The following is a 25,031-nucleotide window of genomic DNA, read 5'->3' as shown; positions in this document are numbered from 1 at the left end:
GGCTGAGGTGGGAGGATTGCTTCAGCCCGGAAGGTGGACGTTGCCGTGAGCCAAGATTGTGCCATTGCACTTCAGCCTAGGCAACAGAGAGACCCTGTCTCAACAACAACAAAAAAAAGGTATGAGCTATGGTTTTTGAGTGAGAGACAAGGACAGGTGCTACGATGAGCAAGTAGACCAACTCAAGCTAAACTCATACAATCACTGAAGGCAGGTGTTTACTAGAAATTCTACTGCCCAATTTTCTGCTCCTGTCTGTCTGTCTATCTATCTATCCATCTATTTATCTGAGACAGGGTCTCGCTCTGTCACTCAGGCTGGTGTGCAATGGCATGATCATAGCTCACTGTGGCCTCAACCTCCCAGGCTCAAACGATCCTCCCACCTCAGCCTCCTGAGTAGCTGGGACTACAGGCATGTGCCACTATGCCCGGCTAATTTTTCTATTTTTTGGTAGAGATGGAGTTTCACTATATTGCCCAGCTGGTTTTGAACTCCTGGGCTCAAGTGATTCTCATGCCTCAGCCTCCCAAAACGTTGGGATCACAGGCACGATTCACTGTGCCCAGACTCTGCTTCTTTTTACAAGATTTCGTAAAATAAATGTGTATAGTCATAATTTCTCCTTTTTTATCTCACAATCTCTTCCCAGTACAATCCAATTCAATCAGGCTTCTATCCTCTTTCTACCCTCACCCCCACAATAACATTAGATTATTTTTTCAAGGGTCACAAATGACCTCCAAGTTGTCAAAAACAATAAAGTCCCATCTTAATTAACATCTCAGATCTGACACAATTAACTACTTCTTTCTTGAAAAATTTTCTTCTCTTAGCTTCCAGGGCATCATCACTGGCCTCTTCTCAAAAAAAAAAAAAAAAATTTTTTTTTTTTGAGACAAGGATTCACTCCCATTGCCCAGGATGGAATGCAAAGGTGCAATCTCAGCTCACTGCAACCTCCGCCTCCTGAGCTCAAGTGATTCTCCTGCCTCAGCCTCCCAAGTAGTTGGGACTACAGGCATGAGCCACTGCGCCTGGCTATTTTTGTACTTTTTGTAGAGATAGGTTTTTACCATGTCATCCAGGCTGGTCTTGAACTCCTGAGCTCAAGCAATCTGCCTGCCTCGGCCTCCCAAAGTGCTTGACCTTGAAATGGTGGAATGCCTCTGAACTCAGTCTTAGGTTTTTCTTCATGCTTTCCCTTGATAATCCCATCCAGTCTCTTGGCTTTAGTCCCTTCCAGTCTTATCCCCAGTTCAGCCCTCTCCCTACTACTCCAGAGTACCTGCTTAATATCTCCTTATGGGACCCTAATATATATCTCAAACCTAGTGTGGTCAAAAGTGAGCTAATTAAAAAAAAAAAAGTGAGCTAATTATTTTCTCCAAAATCTGATTCTCTGTCAGCTTATTCTAATTTAGTATCTAAGACCACCTTCTCTGCTGGGTGTGGCAGCTTGCTCCTGTAATTCCAGCACTTTGGGAGGCTGAGGCAGGAGATCGCCTGAAGCTAGGAGTTCAAGACCAGCCTGGGCAACACAGTGAGACCATCTCTAGAAAAAATTTTTAAAATTAGCCAGGCTTGGGCCAGGTGCAGTGGCTCACGCCTGTAATCCCAGCACTTTGGGAGGCCAAGGTAGGCGGATCACTTGAGGTCAGGAGTTCGAGACCAGCCTGGCCAATATGGTGAAAGCCCGTCTCTACTAAAAATACAAAAAGTAGCCGGGCGTGGTGGCACGCACCTGTAACCCCAGCTACTAGGGAGGCTGAGGCAGGAGGATCGCTTGAACCCAGGAGGCAGAGTTTGCAGTGACCTGACATCATGCCAATGTACTCCAGCCTGGGCAACACAGTGAGACTTCCTCTCAAAAAAAAAAAAAAAAAATTAGCCAGGCATAGTGGTGGGTGCCTGTAATGCCAGCCACTTGGGAGGCTGAGGCAAGAGAATCACTTGAACTTGGGAAGCAGAGGTTGCAGTGAGCCGAGATCACACCACTGTACTCCAGCCTGGGTGACAGAGACTCCATCTCAAAAAAAAAAAAAAAAAACAGTAGCCAGGCTTGGTGTCACGTGCCTATAGTCCCAGCTACTTGGGAAGCAGAGGCTGGAGGGTCACTTGAGCCCAGGAATTGGAGGCTGTAGTGAGCTATGATGGTGCCACTGTACTCCAACCTGGACAACAGGGCAAGACACTCTTAAAAAAAAAAAAAAAAAAGAAATAAGAAACCACCTCTAATAAATTGCTCAAGCCAAACTAACTAAATTCTTTGTCTCTCGATTTCCATATCCATAAAGTAGAGGTAAAATAGGGTTGTGAGGTTTAAAGTGCTTAGAATAGCCCCTGGCACAGAATGAACATCCTACAAATGTTTGCTTAAAAAACAAAAAATCCGGCCAGGCACGGTGGCTCACGCCTGTGATCCCAGCACTTTGGGAGGCCGAGGCAGGTGGATCACCTGAGGTCAGTTCAAGACCAGCCTGGCCAACATGGTGAAACCCCATCGCTACTAAAAATACAAAAAGTTAGCTGGGCGTGGTGGCGCATGCCTGCAATCTCAGCTACTCAGGAGGCTGAGGGAGGAGAATCTCTTGAACCCAGGAGGTGGAGGTTGCACTGAGCCGAGATCGTACCACTGCACTCCAGTCTGGGCAACAGAGTGAGACCCCATCTCAAAAAAAAAGAAAGAAAGAAAAAACAAAAATCCTTGGCCAGGCACAGTGGCTCATGTCTGTAATCCCAGCACTTTGAGAGACCGAGGAGGGTGAATCACTTCAGGCCAGGAGTTTGAGACCAGCCTGGCCAACATGGCAAACCCTGTCTCTGCTAAAAATACAAAAATTAGCTGGGCGTAGTGGTGCGCACCTGTAGTACCAGATACTCAGGAGGCTGAGGCAGGAGAATCACTTGAACCTGGGAGGTGGAAGATGCAGTGAGCTGAGATCATGCCAATGTACTCCAGCCTGGGCCACAGAGCTACACTCTGTCTCAAAAACAAAACAAAATGAAACAAAAAAAACCCAAAATCCTCTTTCTCAGACATGTCACACTGTTCTTCTGCCTTTGTATTATTTCCCTACCTGAGAATGTTCTCTGATCTATATATTATGGATCTTATCATTCAGGCTTCAGTTAAAATAGCACATCTGAGAGAGGTTTTCCCTGACCCAATCTAAAGTAGCTATACTGTCAGTGGTAGATCATCCATTTGAATTACCTGCATAGCACTTTTACTATAACATTTTTCTTGTTATTTATTTTCTTTCCTCTTCTCACTAAAATTGAAGTTCTACAAGAGCAGGGACATTGTCTGACTGGTTCAGCACGGTAGCCCCAAGGCTAAACAGTTCCTGGCAGAGAGCTGACACCTAATAAATAGGTTTTAAACTTGCAGCTTATAGGACAATTATTTTCCTGGAAAGGTGAAAATGAAAGAGCTGAAGAGATCATGTTATTCTCTTTATTACTGAGTAGCTAAGAGAAGATTAGAAAAGTTTTGTGCTGAGGTGAAGGTAGGCGGTGAGAGAGAAGAAAATGAAATAGCTAAAATACACAATGAGAAGATGAATTTGTAAAAATGATCTTTATTTCTACACTATATTACTCACTCGTCACCACTCTGTTCCTCATTGTGCTGCTTATCTAGTGCACTGAAGAAGGCTATGATTCCTTCCAAAACACTCTTTCTGCTTCCCTGAAAACAATACAAAATTGGTAAGGTCTCCCAATTAACAGCAAAATAACCAATTTGAATTCAAAGTAGTTTTCAGCTTAAAGAATTCTCCAGTACAAATTTAAATAAATAATCTATGACTTAGACTCAAACTAAGAATGTATAGAACACTTTCATGTTGAAACAAGATTTGAAATACCTCTTACTGTAAGAATTTATGGGGCCTATAGTCTACCCTTTCTGAGATCTTTATCCCTTTTACCTCCGCAAAGAAAATGTGGCAATACAAGAGATAATGCATGTTTTCCTTGGATGAGAAGTATGATCCTTTTACCAGACCAAACCACTATATGTGAAATGAAAGCATCTATGTTCGGCTATGTTTGCTCACGTGAAATGAAAGCATCTATGTTCGGCTATGTTTGCTCTGCTATATAAACCAAGGGTATGAATAAGTTGAATGGTCATAACTGGTCATACCACCAGAACTAAGGAGAAACAATTTTCCATTTGTACCTTGGAGGAGAGAACCAGAAGCTGATAGACCAAAGGTGGTATTTCTTGAAGATTCATCTTGGAGAACATGCTCAATGCTTTTTCCACCACAAATTCCACCTCTTCTGCAGTCAGAGGGACATCCCTGTGGATCAAAGATTCTAAAGGCTATAGACAGTGTCTAACTGCCTTGTTTTCAGAAATTCAATTCAGGGCTTTACAGTGGTTAAAATTCCATTAAACATATTTTAAGAAATGAAACTTGGGAGCAGAGAATTAAAGAGATAATAGATTATTATAACTGTCCCTTTTGATTTTTCTCTAATGAAGAACCTTTAAGGGAACCAATAACCTTACCTAAGCAAAGTCATTCTTATAAAAAAAATAAAGTTATGTTTTAAATAAGTAAGTAAAGCCAAAAAGGAGGCAGGAGTGAGGAGGGAATCTGTGAATCTGTAACAGAAAACATAACTACTAATATTCTTACAATCAGGAGAGAGTGATGTTTACGTTTGCTATAGTTTAATTTCTAGCAAGTAAGTTCACAAAGCAGGATACACAAAGAAAAGGGAAAAGATGATGCTTACTTGAACATGGAGGTGAGTTGGATTACATATTGCTGATCCCACCTGGTAGAAGAAAATGACAAAGTTTATTTCTTTACAACTTATTTAGATATAACTTTGTAAAATTAATGAGGACAAAAAAACAGGGCCAATTCAAGTTTGATTTTGCAATACCGAGAAACAAGATCAAATAAATACCATTTAAAACAATGAAATAGCAGTTGTTAACCTACCCGACTCGCAAAATCAAAATTCTGATGATACCCAATGTTGGTGAGATTGTGGAAAACAAACTCTATTCACATACCGTTTTAGGGAATGTATGACAAGCTGGCAGTAGTTATCAACTTTAAAAATGCACATAATCACAGATCTACCCAATTTACTATTTGAAATATATGCCATGTACATGCTTATAAAAGGTCATCTAGATATATAAAGATGTTCAGGCCAGGTGCAGTGGCTCATGCTTATTATCCCAACACTTTGGGAGGCCAAAGGAGGAGGATCCCTTGAGGCCAGGAGTTCAAGAGACCAGCCTGGCCAATAAAGCAAGATTCCCATCTCTATTTAAAATTAAAAAAGACATTCATTGCAACACTCTTTGTAATAGCACAAAAACTGGAAATAACCAAATAATCTGACAATTGTAGATTAGCCAAATAATAGATTACTGCAAACCATTAAAAAGAATGATGTAGAGTTGTATATGCTGACATGGACAGTTGTATTAAATAAAAAATGCAAGGTATATTACAGTATGTATTGAATAAACTCTTGTGTAATTAAAAACAAATTAATTGACAAATACATGCTTAAAATGATTTATGTAAGGGATCTTATGTAAGGAACCATAAAAGCAATTATCTCTGGTTTAGATAATCTTGGGTATTCCCTTCTTGTTCTTTTTAACAAACCTACACGCAATCACAGTATTATATAACATAGTAATCTCTTTGTTAATTATATGGTTAGAATTTTTCATCTTTGATGTATACATTTCACTTTTAATAGGTATAAATGTCATGGAGTGGCTCTACCTTAACTTACATAGTTTACATGTCTCTATTACTGTATGCTTATACTGGTCACAAATTTCTGTGTTGAACATGTTCATATGTGAGGATTTTCTTGTATGTTGCAGTCATTCTTTAATGTAGATTCCCAGAAATACAATTACTGGTTAAAGGATACATCACTTGTATATTCTACTCCCTCAAAAAAAAAAGAAAAAAGAAAAAAAGAAAAGATGCAGCAGCAGGGTGACTTTCCCAGCCTTCACGACCTTGAGACTCCAATAATGCTTAGATTGGAGCATTAAACACACTAAATTAACATTTAATTATGTGTATCTTAACACACTAAATTGCTGTAAGAAGATACAGTCAAGCAAATAAAACTATATGAACAGTCTTAGAGGACAGAATATAGTAAATCATTTCTTTCTCACTAATTCATTGCAGACTAAATAGTTTTATAGTGTTATATTAAAAACAACAAAAAAGAAGGACTTAAAACCTCCAGACATAAATTCCTGAAATAAAGTGGTTTTTTTTCCGCCACTTGTATTCCTAAGAAAGTTATACATATTAACAAGACTCACCTGCCAGAACACAGGGTGTTAATCAACTGTTTCTTACATTCTTCCCCACTCAGTACACCTAGAAATGCAAAATATACTGAGCAATGAATTTGATTATGTGCATAGAGAAAAAGCCACTAAAGTCGGAAGAAAATTACCTTTTCCATAAGCCAGATTTTCCTTTTTCGTAGCCAGGGCAGTGAGAATGATAGGTAGTAACTCCAAAGATTTTCCATTCACTAGGCTGCCTTCTCTGACAGCACTAATAAACTCATTGGCTAATTCAACCAATAATGGTCCTGGAAAATGGTGAGCCTAAAAGTTCACAGGATAAAGGAAATCTCAAGCAGAAATCCAATGTTTGATAAATCTTTCTAAGAAATAAAGTCTTTTGCTGAAATAAATGAATTGACCGAGATCCAGAACTGGTCCCATAAGGGATTTATGGAATCATTCTGCTCTGTCTGGTACGTAGTTATAATTGTGAAGGGCTTCAAAAGTTAGAATCCTGTATCGGTTCCCTGATGTTTTCAGATATGCCAGCTCTTCAAAGAGATATATGTCCATGGTACCAGAAATGTAATATATACACCTAAGTGGATTATAACCCATTCATCTGCTTTTTTTTTGAGACGGGGTCTCACTCTGCTGCCCAGGCTGGACTGCAGCGGTGCAATCTCGGCTCACTGCAACCTCCGCCTCCCTGGCTCAGGCGATCTTCCTGCCTCAGCCTCCCAAGTAGCTGTGACCACTGACATGCGCCACGAGCCCGGCTAATTTTTTTTCTTTTGTATTTTTGGTAGAGATGGGGTTTCACCATGTTGCAGAGGGTGGTCTCAAACTCCTGAGCTCAAGCGATCCTCACCTCAGCCTCCCAAAGTGCTGGGATTACAGGTGTGAGTCACCATGCCCGGCCTGCTTCTTTGTTTTTTAACAACAGGTCTTACTCATAAATAAGGACTATGCTAGGTTGGGCACTTAAGTTTTCCTTCCCTCAACAAATTACAAACCCTCAAAAACCTACCCCCAAATAAAAGTTTTTGTTTGCCATCTTACCTCCAGCATCAGTAATCCTATGATCTCAGACGCTATTTCTTTCTGCAAATCCCCCGATTCCACCAACTGGATACAACAAGTGTATATCTTACGTCTCCTAAGTGTTCCAGCTTCCTCAGAGCAGGGGGAACCTTATTGTTTTAAACAGGGGGTTCAGAAACAAGTCTTACAACATTGACAGGTAAATAGGAAAAACGAACAGGTTTGTAGTTAAATACAAAAAAACAGAATTATCAAACGACTGATTACTACGGTGCTTAGAACAGCAATGGTTAAGGGCTTTGAAAAAGTGCTTAATTTAGCCAAAATAAAGGGACTAAAATGTCATCTTTTCTTCATCTACCTATTATTTTAATAATTACAGGATGAAGTAACCTTCTAATAGGTCTTACAGCTTTTGAGAAGTCCAGTAACCCAAATTTAATAACTAATCTATTTTCTTCAGACTTCTGCAATCGTTCTTTAAAATCAAAACATTTAGCAAGCTGACTTTTTTAATGTGCTCTATACAAATACTTGTGAACTTTTAATAAGTTGAGTGCTTTCATTTGGATAAGGGGATCTCCATTTGATATTTTCATTTGTATAATTCATTTGCAGTCTGAAAATTTTTTTTTAGTGCCGATCCTGGAACATATCATTAAAGTTAATTTTCTTTGCATTTTAAAATATCTGGATCATGTAGAAAAAGTGATGAAAATAAATCAAAACTGAAAAAAAAAGATAATAACAAGTGTTGATGAGGATGTGAAAAAATTGGCATCCTAATCCAGCCACATTGGAAAACAGTTTGGCGGTTTCTCAGTTAAACATAAGAGTTTCCACATGATCCGGCAATTCCACTCCTAGATATATATCCAAGAGAAAGGAAAACATGTCCGCACAAAAATTTATACACAAATGTTCATAGTAGTATTATAATGGCCAGAAAATAGATACAACTTAAGTCTTCATCAACTCATGAATGGAAAAATGTTGTATATCCACATAATGGAATATTATTCAGCAGTAAAAATAAAGTACTGATACATATTACAACATAGAGGAACCTTTGTAACATTATAAACGAAAGAAGTCAGTCACAAAGGACCATATATAGAATGATTCCACTAAATGAAATGTCCAGAATAGACAAATCTGTAGAGACAAAAAGTAGATTCGTGGTTTCTTAGGACTGGAATGGACTAGGGGTTTGGAGAGGTGACATCTAAGAGATGCAAACCTTCTTTCAGGGGTAAGGAAATTGTTTTAAAATCAATTGTGGTAATGGATACACAACTCTGAATATACTAAAAGCCATAGAATTGCTCTTCCATTTAGTAGTAGTGTACGTAGGCAGTTGCTATTGATCTTTAATTATTTCCTTTTCTCTGATATTTCTATAAAATATTTAGCAAGTTTCCATACAGGTTGACTCAACCAATCTTGAAAGTTCTTTCATGAATAGGAAGATGTGTTTTTGTACCCTTGCAGCAGAGATCTAATTTACTTGGGGGAAGAAAAATAAACCAAGTTAACATACCTAATTAAGAGTCCAAAGACACTTTTAATTTTTGCCTTGTAAAATTTTATCCTACCAGAATTTATAAAACCACTATAAATCACAATCTGCAACAATTTAAACTAGCCCTTGTTCAAGACAAGAAAACAAATACGTCTCAGCGGGCATGAAGAATCTCTATATAAGGCACCTTAAGATACCCCATTTCATTAAACCCCAGAGGTTACTTGCCCCTTGCTAAGCATGGATTATGTATTAAACATTGCTGTTCTCTTCTCCACAATCTTAAAAGCACAAGTAAACCAAAGCAGATTTTACGAAAAGCACATTCTGTAATTATAGGCCCCCAAATCAGCAACGCAATCTCAGGTAGCCACTTCAAACTCCCTTCAGTAAAATTACTTAAGTCCACTAGACAGGAAACTGCTGCTGTAGTTGATTCTGTAGAATCCTCAAAACATGGAAAATGTTCCAGTGGGGCTTCAAACCGTAAGAAAAGTACGAAAACTAAACAAATCTACCAATGAATGCAGGAGACAGACAGAAGTGACATTAATTATTATTACCTTTGAAGATGGCTCTCAGGAGTGCTCCAGCAACTTTTCCTTTCACTGCTTGATTCTGAAGGAGATTAGTCAACTGCAAAGAAAGAAAAAGGTACAAGTCTCTGGCAACAGTCTTTTACCCCAATGACCTAAACACTCAATATGAAAAAGTACTCTTCTGTCACGTTCAGATCATTCAGAGACGCCAAGTATTACAAACACCATAATTTTTAGACAGAGGAGGGTATATCTTAATATGATCCTGGATTGTCAAGACTAAAATCTATTCTTACTCATTCTATAAACATTTATGTTTATAACTTAGCACTAAGTTGGGAACATACATTCATCCAACAAATACTTTTTGAGCATGTTATTTTCCTTAGGCATGTTATAAAGATGAACAAAACAGACATAGTAATTTGACTCAGAGTTCATAACAGAGCAGGAGGGGAAAGGATGGCAGAAAAAAATTGTAAAAGAACCAAATAAGAGGCTGAGATAGACAATAAGTGAGGAAAGGAAGGAAATTTCCTCTAGGGTAGTAAGGGGAAGCTTCTCAGAAGTAGGTGACATTTAAGTAGAGACCTGGCGGACAAGAAGGAGCTAATTATTCAAAGGCGTTAGAGAAGGATATTCCAGATGGAAGTATGATCACGTGCAATGTCCAAGAAGCAGCAAAGAACTTGGCATATTTGAGGCCAAAGCCTTGCTTAAAAAAAAAAAAATCAACATGGCTGGAGAATAATAAAGAAAAGAGTAGTAGAAGATGAGTTTGAAGAGAAACGGGAAAGGACCAGATTATGAAGAATCTTACAGGCCATGGTAGGAAGTTTAGCTTTTCTCTAAGTGCAACGGAAGTTACTAAAGAGAAAAGAAGGAAATGGGATGATAGATTTTTCAAAAATCATCCTTGCTCCTTGTGTGGAGAATGAGTTATGGGGGTTTAAGAGTGAAATGGGGATACCTGTTAGTAGACTGCTACCATGTTTAAGAGAGAGATGACAGTGGCCTAGACCAAAGTAATAGAGGCATTATGAATTGAATTGTGTCCTCCCCACAACCCCAAATTTCATATGTTGAAGCTCTAACCCCCAGTATTTCAGAATGTGACCTTATTTGGAAATTGGGCTCTTCTTGTAGGTGAGATTAGTTGAGGTCATTAGGATGGGTCCTAATCCAAAGACTAATGCCCTTATAAAAAGGGGAACTCTGGACACAGAAACACAAACAGGGGGAATGTCAGGTGAAGATGAAAGCAGATATCAGGTGATACAAGCCAAGGAATGCTAAAGGTTGCCAACAAACCACCAGAAGCTAGGTGAGAGACACAGAACAAATTCTCATAGCCCTCAAAAGGAACCAACCCTGACAACACTTGATCTTGCACTTCTAGTCTCCAGAACTGTGAAACATTACATTGCTGCTATTTAAGCTACCCAATTTGTGATACATTGTAACAGCAGCCCTAGCACACTAATACAGGCGATGAAGAAAAGTAGATAGATCTAAGATAAATATTTGAGAACTAAGAATAGAAATTCCTTAGTTTGGAAGGGAAGTAGGGGGTGGTGATGAAGGAAAAGAAATCTGGCCAAGCGTGGTGGCTCATGCCTGTAATCCCAGCACTTTGGGAGGCCGAGGTGGGCAGATCACAAGGTCAGGAGATCAAGACCATCCTGGCTAACACGGTGAAACCCCGTCTCTACTAAAAATACAAAAAATTAGCCGGGCGTGGTGGCGGGCACCTGTAGTCCCAGCTACTTGGGAGGCTGAGGCAGGAGAATGGCATGAACCCGGGAAGCGGAGCTTGCAGTGAGCCGAGCTCACGCCCCTGCACTCTAGCCTGGGTGACAGAGCGAGACTCCATATCAAAAAAAAACAACAAAAAAGAAAGAAATCAAGGAGGATTCCTAAATTTCTGGCTTAAGCAGCTAGCTGGTGGATAGTGGCACCATCTGTTTACGTGCTGAAAATTTGGGATTAAGGAAGCATCTAAATCACCCTGAGAGCTTACTAAATTTCCAGGATCTACCCACAGTTTATGATTCGGGTCTGCTGTGAGGCTCAGAACCACTACTCTGAGATATCCAAGTGGAAGTGCCAAATAGATGACAATGAAATATGCCAAGTGGAGCATCAATGGAAACAGATGAGACCATCCAGGAAAGAATATAAAGAAGAGAAACACCAAGAGTCAGTCATTAAAAAGAGAAGCAGCTGCCAGCAAAGACAATGGAGAAAGTGAAGTCAATAACATTGGAGGATAATCTCGAGAGAGAGGTGTCACAGAAGCCAAGACTAATAAAACAATAAACTCTCTCTTCCACAAGTACATGAGGCTGGTGTTTCTAGCTGGAGTCCATCTCTCTATTAAATATATAATAAAGAAGTATCTGACTACTCTTGCCTATACCTTCCAACAGAGTACTTGGTCCTTGACATAACCCTTAGAGCAGCAGTTCTCAACCAGTGATTTTTGTCCCCCAGGGGACACTAGACAATGTCTAGAAACATTTCTGGTTGTCACAACTGGAAGGATGCTGTTGGAATCTAGTGGGTAGAGGTAAGAGATGCTATCAAACATTCTGCAATGCACTGGACAGCCCACCACAACAAAGATTTATCCGAGCCAAAACGTGAGCACTGCCAAGGCTGAGAAGCTGTTGACTCTTTTTGAAATAGTTCAGTTTCAACAGAAAGCAGTGTGGCATAGGAAGAGGGAAAAAAAGCTGGATCCAGAATCAGAAGCCCTGGATGTAAATCCTAGCTATGCCATTTACTAGCTATAAAACCTCAGGCAACTTAATCTGTTATGTGTGTCCATTTCCCCACCTCAAAGGACTGAGATAAAGGGGAGAAGAATTTGCACAGAGCCTAACACACGACAAGTACTCAACGAATGTTAATTTTCTTCTATTGACTCTGTCCTCTACTCCCCTTCTTCCTCCTTCCACTTATGTGATCTTCAGTCTTTCTTTTGACCATGTTCAGTTATGCTTTTTACTACATTTTAAAACTCAGAAATAGAGCAAGTAAGATTTAAGTATCCCTGTTACCTCAGAAGGCTTTAAAATTAATTGGCAGACTGTAACTACCAAGTTAACAGCATAATCCAAATAAATTTTAGTTTTTAAAAAATAGAACATTCCTCATTTTGTGTTGTCTGATGTTTCCTTGTGGCTAGATTGAGTTTATGCGGTCTCACAAGAACACAGGTGATATCATGTCATTCTCGGAGTATCACATCAGGAAGCACATGATGTCCATCTGTCCCTCATTGGTGATATTCTGATCCCACTTTATAATTACTTCCCCCACCCTGTCCCTTTGCCACCAGTAAGCAATTTATAGGGAGACACTTTAAGATCATGCAAATATCTTGCTCCTCATCTAATTTTCTTCCTGTAAAATGGAAAAGCCCAGCAGAAACCACTGTTACCAGGTTATCAAAGTCAGTATCACCAGGAATAACACTGACATCAAGAGCTCAGTGATTTGATACACTAAAAAGGGCATGGTACCATTTCTGTGGTCCTTATGCCAGGGATACAAGACATTGGTCCAATCATGAGACACCACCAAACAGGCCCTAAATGAGACACATTCAGCAAAACAACTAATCAATACTCCTCAGGGCTATCATGATCAACAGAGATAAGGAAAGACTGAGAACTATTGCAGAGTGTAGGAAATCAGGGGGAAATGACAACTAAGAGCAATGTAGGATGCTGAGTGGGATCCTGGAACATAAAGAGAACATTAGTGAAATAATTACTGGGGAGAGTTGGAATAAGGTTCTTAGCTTCATTAATTGTATCGTATCAATGTTTTTAAAGTCCCCCTGGATTTAACATCCATTGGTATTTCTTGTCTGGTTCAATCTTTACCATTACAATTGCAAAGGAATGATTTTCCAACTCCTGCACTGTAAGCAAGAGAACTCCTTTCTACCCATGTATTCATTTACTTACTTTACTTACCTTAGAGACAGAGTCTTCTTTGTCACCCTGGCTGGACTGCAGTGGCACAGTCATAGCTCACTATAACTTGAAACTCCTGGGCTCAAGCAATTCTCCTGCCTCAGCAACCCTCCAGTTAGCTAGGAATACAAGCGTGTGCTGATATGCCATGCTAATTTTTTAAATTATTTTTTTGTAGAGGTGGGTTCTCACTATGTTGTCCAAGCTGGTCTCAAACTCCTGGACTCAAGTGATCCTCCGTCCTCGAACTCCCAAAGTAATTTATTTATTAATTATGAGTATGGACTTATAAATCTCTGTATTTTTCAATGGTTCATTATTGAACTTATTTTGATGCTCAAATAGTCCCAGATTTGGCCAAAGGGAAACCCTTCAAGCTGGCTCTTCTGTCTTTGTGACACGCCCCCACTGTCTTTTTTGAGCACTTCTTTACTTTCTGGTATAGCAAGATGTTCCAGGTTCATCTTGTATCCATCCTGCCCACGCATAAACTTATCCGTTTCTCTGAAGAGCCCTGGTTCCCTTGAGTGAGGAATGGTTATGAAACAGCAAAGATCTAGGTGATGGGTGTGTTTGTTGTTACTAAGGCATCTTTTTAAAATTTATTTATTTATTTTTTTATAGAGACAGGATTTGACCACGTTGCCCAAACTGGTCTTGAACTCCCGGACTCAAGTGATCCACCCACGCAGTTTCCCAAAGTGTTGGGATTACAGGCGTGAGCCACCGCACCGAGCAACTATGGCATCTTTGCTTCATGGTTCTTTCATTGGAGAGAGCCAGGAAATGTATGCATGTTTATACACATAAAAATATACATGGGGCCAGGCATGGTGGCTCCTGCCTGTAATCCCAGCACTTTGTGAGGCCAAGGCAGGTGGATCACTATCTTTTATTTTATTTTTCTCTTATTATGAGTGAAGTTGAGCATATTTTCTTATGTTTAAGGCCATTTTTATATATCTTTTAGTGATTATTCTCATGTTTTTTGCCTTTTTAAAATACAGTTTATCTTCCCCCCCCCCCCCACAAGTTATTTATGAATTAGGGATATTAATCCTTTTTCTGTGATACGTTACAAATATTTTTTCCCAGTTTGCCATTTGTCTTTTGACTCTGCTTATGGTATTTCTGGCCACACAAACTTTTTAACTTATATGTAGACAAACTTATCTTTTCTTGCATCTATACTTTGTATGACAGTTAGAAAGCTTTTCACTGCACTGAGCTTAAAGAGAAATTCATCCATGTTTTCTTCTAACATATACTTATTTATTTATTTATTTATTTATTTATTTATTTTTAAGAGACAGAGTCTCACTTTCACCCGTTGAAGTGCAGTGGCACAATCATAGCTCACTGTAATCTGAACCTCGTGGCTCAAGCGATCTTCCCACCTCAGCCTCCCAAAGTGCTGGGATTACAGGGATAAGCCCCTGTGCCCAGCCCTAACATTTATTTAGATTTGTTTTTTACATTTAAATTTCTGATTCATTTGGAGCTTTCTCTTGAATATGAGAAACACATCTAATTTCATCTATTTTTTCCAAATGTCCATCCAGTTGTTCCAATATCATTTGTCAAAGATTATCTTTATTTCAGTGTTTTAAGATGTAATTTTATTATATACTAGATTTTACTTGTAGTTGGGTCTATTTTGAGACTTTCCATTCTTATGCATTACCTATTCTATTCTTTGTATCCTATTCCGTTTCTGTTTATCTACTCATGTACCAGTACTGCACTCTTATTTATAAAAGTTTTTGTGGTGTTTAGTCTCTGCTATGGTTAATCCTCTCTCAGAGCTCTTTTCAGCTTTTCCCTAACTATCCCTGTGTGTACAATTTGCTATATGAATTTTGCAGTCAACTTATATATATAGCTCAATGGGATTTTTACTGGTATTAAATTGATAAATTAACTTTGGAAGAATTGACATTTTCGTGATGTTGAGACTCCCCAATCAAGAACAGGGGATATCTTCTTAGTTTTCTACTTTGTCCTTCAGAAGTGTTTCATAGTTTTTTTTCGCATGGGTTTTGGACATTTCTCAGGTTTATTCCTGTTTTAACTTTTCTGTTGCTATTGTAAATGGGGCCCAGGCTGGAGTACAGTGGCGTGATCTCAGCTCACTGCAACTTCCACCTCCCGGGTTCAAGCAATTCTCCTGCCTCAGCCTCCTGAGTAGCTGAGACTACAGGCGTGCACCACCACGCCCAGCTAATTTTTCTATTTTTAGTAGAGTTGAGGTTTCACCATGTTGGCCAGGCTAGTTTAGAACTCCTCACCTCAGGTGATCCGCCTGCCTTGGCCTCCCAAAGTGCTGGGATTACAGGCGTGAGCTAACTGGCTATTATGTATGAATGCTACTGATTTTTGCATATTAATTTTATATTCTGCTACCTTGATGAATTCGTTTATAGATGGTTTTATCACAGATTCTCCAGGGTTTTCCAGGTATACTATCATGCCATCTACAAAGAGAGACGTTTTATATTTTCTTTTTTTTTTTTTTAGATGGAATCTCACTTTGTTTACCCAGGTTGAAGTGCAATGGTGCAATCTGGGCTCACTGCAACCTCCACCTCCCAGGTTCAAGTGATTCTTCTGCCTCAGCCTCCCGAGTAGCTGGGATTACAGGCACACACCACCACGCCCAGCTAATTTTTATATTTTTAGTAGAGAAGGGGTTTCACCATGTTGGCCAGGCTGGTTTCGAACTCCTGACCTCAAGTGATCTGCCCACCTTGGCCTCCCAAAGCGTTGGGATTATGGGTGTGAGCCACTGCACTCAGCCTTTATTTTTCCATTATTATGCCTGTGATTGTTTTCTCTAGGTTAAATGCATAGGCTAGCCAATCAGAACATTATATAGTAATGGAGACAGTAGGCATCATTGCTTTGTTCCCGGCCTTAGAGGAAATGTCTCTATGGTTTCCCACTAAGATGCTGACTCTAGAATTTAGATATATACATTTTATGATGTAAAGGAAACAGCCACCCATTCTGATTTTTCTCAAGCTTTTATTAGGAATGAGTGTTGAATTTTGTCAAAGGCTTTCTCTGATCCATGAAGATAATCGTATAATCTTTATAGTAATATACTTTCAAATACTGAACCAACCTTGTATTCCTGCTATTAAATCCCACTTGATCATGGTGTACTTTTTTTAAATGTGGTGTTGCAATCTGTCCCCTAATATTTAAGACTTTTATATCAATATTCGTAAGTTACATTAGTCTATATCCTCTTTTTTCTATGCTATCTTTATGAGGTTTAAGGTTATACCTGATAAAGATAGCATAAAAAAATCAATGTTATATTTGTTTAATTCAATGTTATACTTGCTTCATTCAAAGAACTTGGAAGTTTTCCTTTATTATTTATGCTCTAAAACAATTTATGTAGCATTAGGACTATCTACCTGATCTCTAAAGGTTTGACAGAAGTTTCCTGCCAATCTATCTGGGCCTGGTGTTTTTGTACGAAGTAGTTCCTTCATAACTTTCTCTTTTCTTCTATGGAAACTGGTCTGCTTAAGCTTTCCATCTCAAATTGGCTCAATTTTATTAAACTGTACGTGCCTAAGAAATTATCCATTTCCTCTAGGTTTTCAAATTTATTTGCACAGGAATCTACTGTAGTCTCACAGTATTTTTTGAGATTTTCTCTGTATTAACAGTATTTCTCCCTTGTCATTTCTCATTTTGTGCATGTTTTTACTCCACTGTTTTGATTATTATATTAATTAATGGTGTTTTTTTCCCCCACAAAGAACCAAGATTTTGATTAATTTGATCCACTATTTTTCTGTTCTCTACTTTATTAATTTCCACTTTTATCTTTAGTAGTTTCTTGTGTTTTTTTGTTGTTGTTTACTTTCTCTTTTTTCTAGGTTTTTGAGTTGGGAATTTATTTATTTTCATTATTTCATTTGTATTGATTTCATTATTTCATTTGTTAAACACTTGTTTTTAACATTATTCCATGGATTTTTAACATGTAGTATTTTTGTTATCTGTAATTATTCTTCAAAAATCCTGTAATTTGTTTGTATCTCTTTTCCTCCAAGAGTTATTTAGAAGGTATTTTTTTATTTTTATATATATATATATTTTTATTATACTTTAAGTTCTAGGGTACATGTGCACAACATGCAGGTTTGTTACATATGCGTACATGTGCCATGTTGGTGTGCTGCACCCATTAACTCGTCATTTACATTAGGTGTATCTCCTAATGCTATCCCTCCCCCCTCCCCTCACTCCACAACAGGCCCCGGTGTGTGATGTTCCCATTCCCGTGTCCAAGTGTTCTCACTGTTCAATTCCCACCTATGAGTGAGAACATGTGGGGTTTGGTTTTTTTGTCCTTGCGATAGTTTGCTGAGAATGATGGCTTCCAGCTTCATCCATGTCCCTACAAAGGACATGAACTCATCATTTTTTATGGCTGCATAGTATTCCATGGTGTAGATGTGCCACATTTTCTTAATCCAGTCTATCATTGTTGGACACTTGGGTTGGTTCCAAGTCTTTGCTATTGTGAATAGTGCCGCAATAAACATACGTGTGAATGTGTCTTTATAGCAGCATGATTTACAGTCCTTTGGGTATATACCCAGTAATGGGATCACTGGGTCAAATGGTATTTCTAGTTCTAGATCCCTGAGAAATCGCCACACTGTCTTCCACAATGGTTGAATAGAAGGTATTTTAATTTCCAAGTAAAAGTGTCTTTGCTTTTTGACTTTTAGTTTCGGTTTTCATTTCCAGTTTTATTGCATTGTGATCACAGAGAATAGTTTGTAATAATTCTACCTTATGGGACCTACCCATGTTTTCTTTGTGCTCTAGTATATGACATGTGATTAATTTTTATGAACATTCTATGTGTTTAAGAAGATAATATATTCTTATCAAAGTTCTCTGCATATATTTTAAATATTCTTTATATTTTCCACCTCTTTACAATCTGTGCTTTATTTAGTTATCCTCAGCTCTGTATTCCACTTTACTAATTTTCTCTTTAGCAATGTTTTGTCTACTGTTAAACCACCTACTGAGGTTTTCATTTCAAGAAGTTGTCTTTCATTGTTTTCTAAATCCATCCCTTATTTTGTGAGTTCTATTCCTTCATTTACATCTTCAAATATTTTAAATACTAGGTCAGGCAGAGTGGCTCACACGTGTAATCCCGGCACTGTGGGAGGCTGAGGTGGGTGGATTGCTTGAGCTCAGGAGTTCAAGACCAGCCTGGAAAGCATGGCGAAACCCCATCTCTGCTAAAAATACAAAAATTAGTCGGACATGGTGGCACATGCTTGTACTCCCAGCTACTCAGGAGGCTGAGGTGGGAGGATCGCATGAGCCCAGGAGGTTGAGGCTGCAGTGTGCCGAGATCGCCCCACTGCACTCCAGCCTGTGCAAGGGTGAGATCCCACCTTTAAATAAATAAAGTTAAATACTGTATTAAGTATTTGTGTTAAATAATTAAAGATTTTTTTCAGATTGCTCTAAATCCTTGAATATGAATTTTCCCATTTCTGTTTGAGTCTTTCTTGCCACAGGACTTCTTTATGTGTTTTATAATTTTTTACTCTGAGTTCATCTTCTGTGGGACATTTTATCAAATGAACTGCCTGCATATATTACTGACATGCTTAACAAATTTGTAGAGGATAAAAAGCTGATTAATACGGTCAGCAGAATCATACAAAATGATCTTGATGGAGTAAAACAAGATGAATCTAAAAAAGGTGACAGTTAACAGATATAAAGTTTGTTGTTTTGGTAGTTGTTTTTAGAAACTGGGTCTCACTATGTTGCCTAAGCTGATCTCGAACTCCTGGCCTAAAGGAATCCTCCCAAAGTGCTGGGACTACAGGTGTAAGTCACCATGCCTGGCCTATATATAGTTTTTAACATGGATTCTAAAAGGACTTCAGAGATAAAGGAAACTTAGCAACTTATCAACATATACAAAAATAAATATAAGAGCAATGAGACTACAATATAATGTTGCTGCCAAAAAGCTGATTTTGCATTAATGGAAAAATGAGGGAAATATTAGCATTACTCTATCCTAGAGTCAGAAAACATCTGGAACACTGTCTTCAATTTGACAGTGTTCACGCCTTCAATTTGAGGCATGAAACTTTAAATAAATAATTTAAATGCTAGTTTCAATCAAATCTTGTCTATAGAATGATTCAAGTTACAACTCATGCAACAAGTCATCTCAAAAAATAGCTATAAAGGCAATCTTGGATAATTTCAAAGAAAAAAAAATCAAAGAGCAACACTGCATCAATTCCTAGTTAGTATGTCAGATAACACACACTAAGATGCACCTTCCTTCAATAACTACAACATTAACACAAAGAAATTCCCTTAAAAACATAATACTCATCAATTGACAGAAAAAGGAAAAAAATCCCATGATACTCAATGTCTTTACTTGTTTGTACATATACCTTGAAGAGGGATTCTTTTCCAGGCAGGGACCTGGATAGGATGAGATCACTTATGGAAAAAGGAGCAGTATATCAGCTGAGAAAGAACATTAGGGAGAAGAAACAGCCTAACATATAAGGCAATTACTATCCCATTTTATAATCCTACACTTATAGTGAAAACAGAGGCCCTAATTTTTACTAATAATTTCAAAATATTTTGCCGCTTATAAACTTAATTTCTTTACGGAAAAATACAGAGAAGCATCAAAATGCAAAACTAATGTCTCAATCAGTAACTATAGTCTGGATATTATCATCAAATAGGATTGTTCTGAGGACCATAAAAGTATACTAATTGCTTTTATAAATACAGTTGTAAAAGCATTCTATTCTTAAACTATTTCAGGTTTAAACTTGGTCACAAATGCCCTCAAGTAGTCTATTTCTCTCATTCCCTCACCCCAATTTCTTTACATCTATAAATTATTATTAAATAAATCCTTGTCTCCTACAGTGAATGGGGAGTAGATGAAGAAGCAGCGTAATTTTTCTTTCTCACATGTCCTTTGAATGTGTCATCATGCCTGACATTTACTTTTAGCAGAACATGCTTCCTAATACTCACATCACCTTCTCTCAGGGTTTGAAGAAATTCTTGCAGTTTGTCTGCTGTTTTTTCTGCTGCTAGAGATAAAATCTTCTGGTCCATTGTTGCTCATATCACAGAACTACAAGGGAAAAACGTCAGAGGTGGGTGAAGATTCCAGAAATAAACAAACTTGATTTGTTTTCCTTCCCTGTTAACTGAATATTTCATACCTATTATGCAATGGGTGCTCAACAAACTTAGGACTATCTTTAAGTAGCTGATTCTTTTTTCTTCTTCTTCTTAAGCTCAGTGGCAAGATGATTCTTAACCTAACCAAAATAATCCTGAAAATTCCCTGGAATTGCCTTATTAGGAATCTGTATTCTAATCAAGTGGTTTCATAATTTTTGCCCACACTTGTTACCATCTACTCACCATACTACCTAGAACAAAGCTTCCATTTAACAGCATATCAAGTATGTAATACATTATATATTACCATAAGCATGTAATAAAGTATTTGACAAATAAATGAATAAACCAATAGCACTATAAATGCTATGTGCCAATTAAATGGTATAAAAACAAGTGAGAAGGGGAGCCCAAGAGTGTGAGGCTGCAGTGAGCTATGATCATGCCACAGTACTCCAGCCTAGGCAACAAGGTAAGACCCTGTCTCTTAAAAAAAAAAAAAAAAAGAGGCCGGCACCGTGGCTCATGCCTGTAATCCCAGCACTTTGGGAGGCTGAGGAGGGCAGATCACGAAGTCAGGAGATCGAGACCATTTTGGCTAACACGGTGAAACCCCCGTCTCTACCAAAAATACAAAAAAAAATTAGCTGGGCGTGGTGGCGGGCGCCTATAGTCCCAGCTACTCGGGAGGCTGAGGCAGGAGAATGGCGTGAACCCGGGAGGAGGAGCTTGCAGTGAGCGGAGATCACGCCACTGCACTCCAGCCTGGGCGACAGAGCGAGGCTCTGTCTCAAAAAAAAAAAAAAAAAAAAGAAAGGAAGAAAGAAAGAAAGAAAAGCTGAGAAGTTAACAAGGTAAAAGATGTAACTGTGTTCTTAAATGTCAAGGTTTCGCAGCAGAGGAAAGCTTGAACTGGAACTTAGAGATTAAATATAGGTAGTCCAGACAACCAGGTTGTATACATTATGGAGAAGGGTATCATGAACAAAGGCATTCATACGGGAAATGAGAAATTTCTTTGGGGGAAAATGAGTAAAATGGCTGAGGTAGAATCCAAGTAGGAAAATAGTGAGTAGGAAGTCTGGAAAGATAGGCTGGAAGTAAACAGGTTAAGGAATTTAGATTCTATTTCGTAAATTACTGAGAACCATTAAAAAATTTGAGCAAAAGACAATCTCACAAGATTGCAAGTGTTTGAGGAAACAGAACCTAGCATCTTTGTGCAGATTAAAGTGGGGAGAAGGTAAGAAGAAACAGCAAATGCTAAGAGACCATTTGGAAGTTATTTTAGTGGAAATGATAAAGACCTGTACTAGGGTGGTGACTGGAGAACAGAAAAGATGGGATGAAATGGAGGCACATGAAGCAGATAGAATTCAGTGAGTAGCTATGAAAATAGAAGGGGGAAGTACAGCCTAGTAGAAAGAAAATCTGTTCCTCCTCTTCTTCCTCCTGTGTTTCCCGTCTCCATAAATGGTACCATCATCCACTCAGCTGCTCAGACCAGAAACCTAGGTAACATTCTTAACAACTTTGCCTTCATCCTTCACCACATCCATTACCAAGTCCTGTCAATGTTACCTACTAAATATCTCCCAAATCTGTCTACTTTTCTCCATCTCCACTACTGACACATTACCCCAAGCCACCACCATCTCTCACCTGAACTACTGCAATCGTTTCCTAACTTGTTCCCTTCTACGCAGCAACTAAAGTGATGTTTTTGAAACACAAACCTGATTATGTGACTTATCTTCCCTCCATGCCATCCTCATCTTAAAGCTCTTCAGTGGCTTCCATTGCTTTATCAGTCCAAAACCCTTAAGTAAGGATAAAATAAGTCCTGCAAGTTCTGACCCATGCCTACCTCCCTTTCATCACTCTGCTCCAGCCATGCAGAATTGCTTCCAGTCCTTCAAATCTCCAAGTTCTTTCTGCCACAGGCCCTTCCACATGTTTCCATCTGGAACTTAAATAAATATTCCTGCTTCCATCCACTGCCCCCCAATCTTTTATTACTAATTCCTACAAATCCTTCAGATCTTAGCTCAATCCACATCTCCTCAAAAGCTCAGTCTAGGCCAGGCGCAGTAGCTCACGCCTGTAATCTCAGCACTTTGGGAGGCCAAGGCGGGCGGATCACTAGGTCAAGACATCCAGACCTTCCTGGCCAAGATGGTGAAACCCCGTCTCTACTAAAAATACAAAAAAAAAAAAAAAAAAAAAAAAAAAAAAAAAAAATAGCTGGGCGTGACGGCACGCACCTGTAGTCCCAGCTACTTGTGAGGCTGAGGCAGGAGAATCACTTGAACTCAGGAGGCGGAGGTTGCAGTGAGCCGAGATCGCGCCACTGCACTCCAGCCTGGCAACAGAGGGAGACTCTGTCTCAAAAAAAAAAGAAAAGAAAAGAAAAGAAAAGCTCAGTATAGGTTGTTAAACGTTCCCCTAGTACATCCTCTCATGGCACCAGTAAACTCTCTTACATACTGTCACCAATTTTTAATATTACATGTGTAATTATCAGATTAACAAATGTTATCTCCCACTAGACTATAAGTCCCCTAAGGACACGGGCCGTAGCTGGTTTTGTTTATCATTGTATCTCCAGCACTTAGCACAGTACCTAGCTCAAACTAGGTAACAAATGTTTGTTGAACAAATTATTGAACCCCTATAATAGGGAAAACACTGAACCCAGCACTTTACATTCATTAACATGACTCCCACAACACCACCTACTAGGTAGGTGTAATATTAGCCCCATTTTAGATGAACAACTTTTGGGATTCAGAGATTAGGGAATTTCCCCCAAGATTAGAAGGCTACCAAGTGGCAGAGAGAGAAGTGAAACCCGAGTCTGTCCAGCTCCGGACTCCAAGATCCCATGCTTTGAACTACCGGATGCAAACAGGACACACCAACCTAAAAAGGTGTCCAGCCAGAAGGGGCAGGCGGCTTCGGAGGGGGATACGTTTAAATCAACCTAGGCACATTTGCTAAAATCATCCTAAAACCAGAGGTAAGACCAGAGGCGGGTGGCTGTGAATTCCCTGAACGCGAAGTAGATTCCTTGCCAAGAGACGCTGGGGAGCATCAGAGATCTGAAGCCAAGATCCGAGAATGGCAGAGCCCCGCCGGCGGGAAACGCCGCGGCCTTCCCTTCCGGGTTCTTCAGTTAACAAGCCGTGAGCGCAAATACAAAAACTATAACACGAAGCAGCTGGTGATGGAGACCGCGACCGGACAACAAATGCAAAGCAAGGTTAAGGGAAATTTCTCAGAAGTAAGAGCTCACCCTCGGCCAAGGGGGAAGAATTTAACAGAAGGGGCTCCGACTGAGGCACACCCCTAGGAGGGAACCGCGAAAGCTGAGGCAGGCGGCGGGAGACAGCGGAGCGCGCCTACTTTCCACGCCAGAGAAAATACCAGAACGCCAAGTCAGGACAGGAGCCTCCTTTCCCCCACAGAACCGCTCCCTCCCAGGGGCCCAGTCCCACAGCCCGAGCACCTCGCGAGCCGCTCTGCAGTCACCTCGGCCTCACCTCCGCCACAAACTTCCAAAAAGCCCGCTCAACCCAACGCCGCCACACTTCCGTTACCCGTAACAACAAGATCCGCCCCCGCGGCTCACTTCCGCCGTCCGGGTACCTGCGGGCGGGGTGTACCATGAAGACTGAAGGGGTGCCGGGAAGCGTGCGGGAGCGTCCCAGCTCACAGTCGGAGGGGGGCGCTGCCTGTCCGAACTCGCGCTAGGGACCGCCGATGAGCACGCGCGGTGGGACCTGAGCGTGCCCAGCGCGGTGTCCCGACAGGTTCAGCTTCCCTCCTGTCCTGTTGAGGGAGTAGTCAGTGCGGGAGGGGACTCACAATTGGTGGCCCCGCAGGTCTTGGCACTGGAAAAGCCTGGAAGGCAGAGGCGGATTTCATACTCCACCTTGTGCCAAGGGACGGTAACCCCTCAGATGTAAGCCCCCTGTGGCTAGGGGTCTTAATGGACTTTTGGGAGTTGTGGTTTTTGTTTGTTCTCTGTTTTGTTTTGTTTTGCGCTCCCCTTGCGTAACCCCAGCGTTTATTGCATAGCCTGGCAAAAGCAGCGAATATTTGTTAAATGAACAACTGACAGTGGGGCGAAGACCGACAGAGGGTGGGCCGAGATTCTATTTTGGGTTGAGGGAGCACCTTGCGCAAAGGGTCTGAGAGCAACGAGCAAGCAACAGAGCCCCTGGCCAGTTCAGAAGGCGAAGGTGCTCGGTGGGAGTGGGAAGGCAGGGGTTTCTAACTCCTTTTCATATTGGGGGCAGTGGGGAACCGCTGAAGGGGAAGGACATGACTGTGTTCGCATTGTAGACTGCTGTCTCGGGCAGGTGAGGACCGCAGAAACTGTTGAAAAG

General features: G+C 39.9%; 1 protein-coding gene across 51 annotated transcripts in view, besides 1 other annotated feature; it reads right to left on the bottom strand.

Moving 5' to 3' along the window:
* The window catches only part of FANCI (FA complementation group I), a 73,281-nt gene extending 49,044 nt beyond the window's left edge, over positions 1 to 24,237 (bottom strand). For 4 of the 51 annotated variants that reach the window (XM_047432795.1, XM_047432811.1, XM_047432814.1 and 1 more), the window contains exons 1-10: positions 24,149 to 24,237; positions 22,508 to 22,609; positions 20,485 to 20,587; positions 9,440 to 9,512; positions 7,373 to 7,503; positions 6,475 to 6,631; positions 6,338 to 6,395; positions 4,756 to 4,797; positions 4,190 to 4,313; positions 3,609 to 3,694 (exon numbers count right to left, since the gene is read on the bottom strand). In XM_047432795.1, the coding sequence (XP_047288751.1) occupies positions 3,609 to 3,694; positions 4,190 to 4,313; positions 4,756 to 4,797; positions 6,338 to 6,395; positions 6,475 to 6,631; positions 7,373 to 7,503; positions 9,440 to 9,512; positions 20,485 to 20,568 (755 nt within the window). In that variant the 5' untranslated portion in view covers positions 20,569 to 20,587; positions 22,508 to 22,609; positions 24,149 to 24,237. Of the gene's footprint in view, positions 1 to 3,608; positions 3,695 to 4,189; positions 4,314 to 4,755; positions 4,798 to 6,337; positions 6,396 to 6,474; positions 6,632 to 7,372; positions 7,504 to 9,439; positions 9,513 to 20,484; positions 20,588 to 20,678; positions 22,610 to 22,904 lie in introns of all 51 variants that reach the window. The other 47 variants (XM_047432793.1, XM_047432805.1, XM_047432821.1 and 44 more) reach the window with 16 other exon arrangements.
* Positions 23,655 to 24,034: an enhancer, noted in NCBI's record as "active region_10045". NCBI's record gives its function as "activates an Ori minimal core promoter by ATAC-STARR-seq in GM12878 lymphoblastoid cells {active_cell/tissue: GM12878}" and the evidence as "EXISTENCE:reporter gene assay evidence [ECO:0000049][PMID:35858748]".

This window comes from Homo sapiens, chromosome 15, assembly GCF_000001405.40.
Source record: "Homo sapiens chromosome 15, GRCh38.p14 Primary Assembly".
NCBI lineage: Eukaryota > Metazoa > Chordata > Mammalia > Primates > Hominidae > Homo > Homo sapiens.
Note: the sequence above shows the minus strand (reverse complement) of the source record. Positions and strands in the feature narration are given on the sequence as shown.